This window comes from Homo sapiens, chromosome 17 (assembly GCF_000001405.40).
Source record: "Homo sapiens chromosome 17, GRCh38.p14 Primary Assembly".
Lineage (NCBI taxonomy): Eukaryota > Metazoa > Chordata > Mammalia > Primates > Hominidae > Homo > Homo sapiens.
In genome coordinates this window covers 1,993,684-2,001,195 of record NC_000017.11, presented here as the reverse complement: position 1 = coordinate 2,001,195, position 7,512 = coordinate 1,993,684, and the positions used below count along the sequence as shown (strand labels likewise).

At 56.9% G+C, this 7,512-nt stretch overlaps 1 protein-coding gene across 1 annotated transcript in view, besides 1 other annotated feature; it reads left to right on the top strand.

The window, feature by feature from the left end:
* Positions 1-7,512, top strand: part of RTN4RL1 (reticulon 4 receptor like 1) — a 90,658-nt gene that overhangs the window by 24,139 nt on the left and 59,007 nt on the right. The gene's annotated exons all lie outside the window — the stretch shown is intronic.
* Positions 701-1,211: an enhancer, noted in NCBI's record as "H3K4me1 hESC enhancer chr17:1903279-1903789 (GRCh37/hg19 assembly coordinates)". NCBI's record gives its function as "activates a minimal SCP1, AML or CMV promoter by ChIP-STARR-seq in naive H9 embryonic stem cells {active_cell/tissue: H9 hESC(naive)}" and the evidence as "EXISTENCE:reporter gene assay evidence [ECO:0000049][PMID:30033119]".

Genomic DNA, 7,512 nt, shown 5'->3' with positions numbered 1-7,512 from the left:
TAAATGAAAGGCCAGGCGTGGTGGCTCACACCTGTAATCCCAGCACTTTGGGAGGCTGAGAGGGGAGGATGACTTGAACCCAGGAGTTCAATGCCAGCCTGGGCAACATAGTGAGACCCCATCACTACAAAAAAAAAAAAAGTAAATGAAAAACATTATTATTGTTATCTTTATCAAGTGATTCTCAGACACAGAGGGCAGCCTGTCACGTCTCCTATTCCATGACCCTCCACAGCTCACAAAGGCCTGCGAGCCACAGCTGTTTCCATGCAGTATTCCCACCATCCCTCCAAGAGGGGCTGAAGGTGAGGCTGGGTGGCATGATTTGGAGCCTTGCCCAAGGCTGCTGGACCCGTAGGTAATAGAACCAGAACCCTGCCAGCTGCAGTGGCGCACCCCTGTAATCCCCGTACTTCGGGAGGCTGAGCTGGGCGGATCACCTGAGGTCAGGAGTTCAAGACCAGCCTGGCCAACATGGCGAAACCCCATCTCTACTAAAAATACAAAAATTAGCCAGACGTGGTGGCACGCCCCTGTAATCCCAGCTACTCAGGAGGCTGAGGCAGGAGAATGACTTGAACCTGGGAGACGGAGGTGAGCCGAGATCGCACCATTGCACACCAGCCTGGGCAAGAAAAGCGAAAATCAGTCTCAAAATAAATAAATAAATAAATAAAATACTAAAATTAGCTGGACATGGTGGCATGTGCTTGTAATCCCAGTTACTCGGGAGGCTGAGACTTGAGAATCGCTAGAACCCAGGAGGTGGAGGTAGCACCGAGACCATGCCGCTGCACTCCAGCCTGGGCGGCAGAGAGAGACTCCATCTTAAACAAACAAACAAACAAAAACTGGAACCCAAAGTAGGACTTTGTGTCCCTTCCCTGCCTCCCGTCCTGACATTCCTTCCTCTGCCCCATCCTGCTTCCTAACAAGGCACCCAATATCCTTGGCTCTGGGCTCCAGGAGCCAACCCAGGAAGCAAACTAGGAAAGGCCTGGCCGGGCTGGGTAGGGACACCTGGGGCAGCGGTGGCTGCTACTTGGCAGACACGCCTTCTCCCTGACACAGCTGTCAGCCTTTGCAGTTCTGCTGAGGCAGCAGCCCTGGCCCAGGCAGGCTTCCCTCCCTCTGTGCTGGGTACATGCACACAGGGCTGGCTGCAGATGGCCGGCCTGTGCCCCTGCACCCATCCAGGCCCAGGGACCCTGGCCTGCCCAGTGGTCAGCACTTGGCCACCTGGCCTCCAGGGCCCCACTGCCTGCCCCCCTGGGGACAGGCCTGCCCCAGCTGCTCTGGGCCCTAGACAGGAGAGGAGAGGCGAGAAGAGGCAAGGCCGTGAGGCCGGAGGGCAGGAAAAGCCGGGAGGGAGGTGGCTATTTATAGCCAGCTTTGCTTTTGTTCCTTTTCCAGCAATGCCTCTCTTTAAATAGGAGCAGGGCTGGAGGCTGCAGCTCTTCCCCAGCCGCCTGCAGTCAGCACGCAAGAGTGTGTGTGCCTGTGCGTGTGTGTGTGGGGGGGGCATGTATAGGGAGTGGGCACTGCAGTGTGTATTTGTGCATGTGTGCAGGGACAGGAAGAAGAGGCTGGATGTTCTGTGTACGTGTGTGCTTGTGTGTACACCGACATGTACAGGGTGGCAGTGGGTGAACAGCTCTTTGTGTATGGGTGTTGGGAGCTGCATGTGCACATACGTGGATAGGGATGGGGCAGTTCATGTGTGTGTGTGTGTGTGTGTTTTATTTTTTTCGAGACGGAGTCTTGCTCTGTTGCTCAGGCTGGAGTGCAGTGGCGCGATCTCGGTTCACTGCAATCTCCTCCTCCCGGGTTCAAGTGATTCTCCTGCCTCAGCCTCCCGAGTAGCTGGGATCACAGGCGCGCGCCACCACGCCCGGCTAATTTTTGTATTCTTGGTAGAGACGGGGTTTCACCATGTTGGCCAGGATGGTCTCCAACTCTTGATCTCGTGATCCGCCCGCCTCCGCCTCCCAAAGTGCTGAGATTACAGCCGTGAGCCACCGCGCCCGGCCGGTGTGTGTGTGTGTGTGTGTGTATGATGAGCACACATTCAGTGCAGCGTGTGTGTGTGTGTGTGTGTGTGATCGCGCATGTGTCTGGTGTAGACTGGCGTGAGCAGCTCTCTGGGGCGAGTGAACATCGCTGTAAGGGGCTGTGGAGTGGTCCCCGCCCTGTGTGTGAGAGGATGGCATCGTGCAGGGAAGGGGGAGCAGCTCTTCAGTTGTGCACAGCCGACTGGAACCCTCGGTGAGGGCAGGGCCTGTGTCTGTTCTGCGCGTGGGATGAGCGCGTAGAGAATAAAGGGGCTCCGGGGTCGTCTTCGGCTGCCGGGAAAGTGCGTCAAACCCGCGTCCCCAGCGTTTTTAGGGCCCTCGCAGAGCCCCACCCCCACCCCCACCCCGGGGTCCCCGTGCGCGCGAGGCCGCCCCTGTCCCCGTCTGTGCTGCGAGGCCCGTGAGGGGAGCGGGGCCCGGGCGCTCCGGCAGCGCCAGCTTGGGCAGGAAAGCGCCGCGGCGACCTCGGAGGCCACATCCCGGCGAGCCCAGGAGGAGGCGAGCCGGCCCCACGTCCCCCACCCTCCGCCTCAGCGTTCACGTCTGTAAAGTGGGGGCAGGAAAGCCGCCGGGGATCCGGCAGGGACCTGCGCGCTGGGCAGCGGTGGCCGGCCCGGGGGCAGCCGCGGGGAGGGGAGGCCCGACCCGAGCGGGGCGCGTGGGGTGCGCAGATCCCCGGCCGGCGGCTCCCGCGAGAGGGAACGGATCCCAGCGCGGCCGCGGCTCCCCGCGCGGTAACCCCGATCTCTCAGCGCGGGCCCCCGGCTCTAGAGCGAGAAGACCCTCCCGGGCGGGGCCGGTGCCCAAAGGGCGCGCTCGGCTCGGGTCGGCCTGCGGGAGGCCTTGGGGCGCCGGGTCTGGGCACCGCCCTCGCCCTGCAGCTCCGGATCAATGCGACAGCCCTCCCCGCCCCTCCCCCAAAGGCCAAACAAAACATAGTAAATATTTAATCCGGGCCAGGGAGCCAAGGAGGCCTCCCCGCCCCCTCCGCCGCCGTCTGGCTCCCCTGCCAGCCCCGGCAGCTCTCCCTCGGTAATGAGGCCGGGAGAGGCCGGGATCGATCGCGGCCTGGGGCGGAGGCGGGGGTGGGGGTGGGGCGCCCGGCACCCTGAGGGGGACATCGCTGCCCGCCCCCAGGCCCCAGACCCAGGAGCCCAACCGAAGGCACCTGCGCCCACGCTTTCCCCAGAAGGCCTGCGAGGAGCGCGCCGGCCCCTGCCGGCCTGCCCTTGTCACCTCCCTTCTCAGAGGGCGTCAGCTGGGGTCGGGGGTCTGCGGGGATGCAGGCCCGAGTAGGAGGGCTGTGAAGGGGGCGGGGACCTCCCAGCCCCGGCTCAGGCCTGACCTCCGAGTCCTAGTGGTTTAAAGCCAGCAGGGGCTTGGATGAGGCCTGGGTGGGGCAGGGGCAGCTAGGGGTGCCCTAGAGGGAGGCTGGCGAGGTGTTCCTGTACCTTGGAGTAGGATACCTTAGTGTGCTGGTGGTGCTCCCGATTTCCTGGGCATTGCCTGGGGAATACCTAGAGGGGACGGTGACATCCTCACTGCTCATTCATGCAGTGGTTTATGATTGAGCACCTACTATGGGCCAGTCATACTTGTCGACTACCAGACAGACAAGTTCAGACCTGCAGAGGGATCGCATTCCAGAGAGCGACAGTTAATAAGTAAACACATGCGATGATTTCAGATCGTGGTTGGACTCAGTGTAGAGAATAAAACTGTTAATGTGATATTGTACTTGGCCGGGAGAGGAGCCACATCAGCTGGGCTGGTCCTGGAGCTGGCTGAGGACGATGGGTTGGGGAAAAAGCATCCCAGACAAAGTCTGTAGGAAGTGCAAAGGCCCAGAGGCAGGAAATAATTTGCGAGGAAGGCCAGTGAGGTTGATTGTCGTGAGTGAAGAAGCAGGTAGTGAGCGGCAGATCCCTGAAGGTCTCGTGGGCCACGGAGGAGTTTGGATTTTGTTCTAAGTGCAGTGTGAATGCATTAGAGGTTTTAAGCAAAGGAATGACATGATCTGATTTACATTTTTAAAAGCCTCTGCTGGCTGCAGTGTGGAGAATGGAAGATAGTTAAGGGGGAAGGCGGGGAGGCCAGGTTGGTTGCGGGGGATGGTGCAGTGGTGTACACAAGGGTGGCTGGTCCCCTGCCTGGCTTGGGTTATGACTGAAGTGGCCATTTACACATCTGCAGCTGGCAGGGCCCCCAGCAACCAGGAATAGCCTGCTCCTGGGTTCTTTGTGCACAGAGTCCCAGCTGGCCTGGGCAGAGGCTGGGGTGGCCCCCGTCCTGTCTCCGAGACCCAGACTCCACAGTGGGCAGCCCAGGAAGGTTTTTTTTAGGAGCATTAGAAAATGTTGACATGTTTTTTGAAACAATTTCAGATCTGATATCTCCGCCAGATTGAGTTTGTAACCAGCTTTATTGTTTAAGCCTGCTGGGATTTCATCAAAGGCGTCTGCTGTTTACCCAGAACCATTTCATTGGAGAAAACAGCAAACAGACCTGCATTTCTATCTGATTTCACTTTTTCCCTTTTCTCATGAATTTAAGAGCTTGTGAAAAGCAAGGCTGATAAGGCAAGGCAGCGAGGATCACATCCGGAAGAGGGGGGTCACAAGGATCTCAGCTGAGGTTTATTAATAGAGCAGAAAAAAGTTGGGGGTAGCTGGCCGCTTCTCAGGGGGAGGGCAGCAGCCAGCCCTCTGCAGGGGGACCTTGGGCCGGGGGGGAGGGGAGGTGGGGAGAGCTGCTGTTCACCCGTACTCTGCCCAAGATTTTTAGGTCATCTCCTGGTGTCTGTTGTCTTTACCAGTTTCTGGACTATTTCAGACACTGGCAGTGATAAAAGACTGAACATCAGCTCTCACCTGGAAAGCAGCAGTGACCTGGCCTCAGAGATGGGTTCAATGAGACAGATTCAAGCTTTCCTGGGAGAAAGCCGAGTAAGGAAACACATCAAAAGGCACATGGAAGGCAGATGATGAGAGTACCGGGAAAATTGCCTTCCTGCTCCTCCCCTGCCAACACTTGGGATTCAGTCCCTTCTCCTGCCAGGCAGCCTGAGCCAGGGCAGGGCAGGGCCCAGGGATGCTTGTCACAGGCTCAGCACGCCCTCACCTCGCCAAGGAACCTACACCAGTGTTATCGCCACCCGCCTAACAGCATCCAGGTGCCTCTAAGCGGGCCTGTTGACCCAGCAAATATGAGCCCAACAGGGGAGACGCTGGCTCTGCAGCCTCTCAGGAGAAGGCGGTCTGAGAAATTTGGGTTAATATGCCTTGTTCCGTGCTTGAGCGACAGCTAGTTAAGTGCATGGGTTGCTCGGCACATAGGCCATCTCTCACCAGTTGCACATTAGACCCACTTATAAAGTCAATCGATTCGAACCAATTAGCAAGAAGATAAGGACTTGTTTACCTTTGATGGTAGATCTTGCAGCGAGCCATCTGAGGGGGATGATAATGATCCAGGGGTATTTCTTCAGCACGCAGTGCCAGGCAGAACCATGTTGTTCTACGCCTTCTGGCAGGTGGGACTTCCGGCGACAGTGAGAGTCAGCTCCCTCATCTGGGGTATGAGCCTGTAAGGACGAGGAGAGTGAGCAAAGGACAAAGGTCTTTCCAGAGCCAAGCTTAGGCCCTCCTGGCTGTAGAGGTTCCCCTGCCATGCCTATCTTTTTTTTTTTTTTTTTTTTGAGACAGAGTTTCACTCTTGTCACCCAGGCTGTAGTGCAATGGCGCAATCTCGGCTCACTGCAACCTCCGCCTCCCGAGTTTAAGTGATTTTCCTGCCTCAGCTTCCCGAGTAGCTGGGGTTACAGGCACCTACCACCATGCCCGGCTAATTTTTGTATTTTTAGTAGAGACGGTGTTTCACCATGTTGGCCAGGCCGGTCTCAAACTCCTGTCCTCAGGTGATCCACCCGCCTTGGCCTCCCTTGGCCTCCCAAAGTGCTGGGATTACAGGTGTGAGCCCCTGCACTCGGCCCCATGCCTACCTTTTGCAGTGAGAGCTCAGTGGGCTGCTGGGGCCTGAGAGGCTCATTCCATCACTGTGGGCTCTGAGCATGGTCCCAGGGCCCCTGTAAGCACAGGGGAACCACATGCTCCAGACACAGGGCCTTGGGAGTATTTCTGGCCATCTGTTGACAGCCTCTGTCATCTCATTTCATGATTTTTTTTTTTTTTTAGAGATGGGGTCTTACTATGTTGGCCAGGTTGGTCTTGAACTCCTGGCTTCAAGCAGTCCTCCCACCTCGGCTTCCCAAAGTACTGGGATTATATGCAGGTATGAGCCACTGCACCTGGCCGTCATTTAATCTTTATAAGCCTCCTTTTTAACCACCTTTCCCCCAACGCAAGCGTGTATTATCCCCTTTCCTAGAGAAGGAAACTGAGGCTTGGAGGTGGGAGGCAGCAGAGCCTGCTTGTGTTGACCGAGGTCACCGGGCCTGTCAGTGGCGGAGCTGGGATTGGAATCCAGGCCTGGCTGACTCCAGCATCTTCACTCAGACTCATTGTCCTCTGCCTTCTGTGAAGTTAGGTAGTGGCAGGACCTTCTCCCAAATTGTGGGTTTGATAAGCTCGCAAGCTGGTGGGAAGGGGATGGAGCAGGCCCCTTGGCATTTTCTGACCTGAGAATTGAGAATATCAGGGGATGAGGCCGAGGATATTCAGGACTTGGGCAGTACTCGCCCTGCTTTTGCCCGAGGAGGGACCAAGTGTGTCCCTGGCTGGGAGAGCTGGTAGGTCCTCTGTAACACGGTGGGCTCAGCACAGGGGAGACATGGCTGTGCCCCCAAGGCATCTAGTTGCTGGCCCCCTGTCCCTGGACTCCCTCCTCACTATCCCCATAAGGGATGGAGTGAAAGCCGCTTTGTCCTCCCCAGCTCTTGCCCATCACTTCCCCCTCAAGCTCCCAGCGCCTGTGAATTCCACCTGGGCACACTCTTCTCAGAGGCAGCAAAATGAGATCTTACTCCAGAGACTGGGGAAAGCAATCCACAGATTGGGACCCGGAGCGGCGAGGTTCGAGTGCACGTGTCCTGAGGAACGGGGTGGTTCAGCGTAGCCGGGGGTGGGGACTGGGGGGCTTTGTTTTTCTACCAGTTCTGCTGTGCTTGCTTAAAACTTGATGAGTTCTTCTTGGGAAATTGCTTCAGATTTCACAGCATTTTCCTCTTAATAGCCTTGGCAGTGGTGAATCCTTGACCTTTGAGGGTGGGTTTGATTTTTTGGAAAAGGCCAAAAGTAATTTGAAGCTGTGTGTTGTGAATACAGGGGCTGAGCAATTTGCAGAATGTGATTTGTTTTTGTTATCGGAATTTTTTTTTTTTTTGAGATTCAAAACGCGATGGCACCCTAACCAACTGAGCCAGTTTTCTCACGAGGAAGTTCCAGAATTGTTTCAAGTAATGGCAGTGCTTTGCAATGGGGGA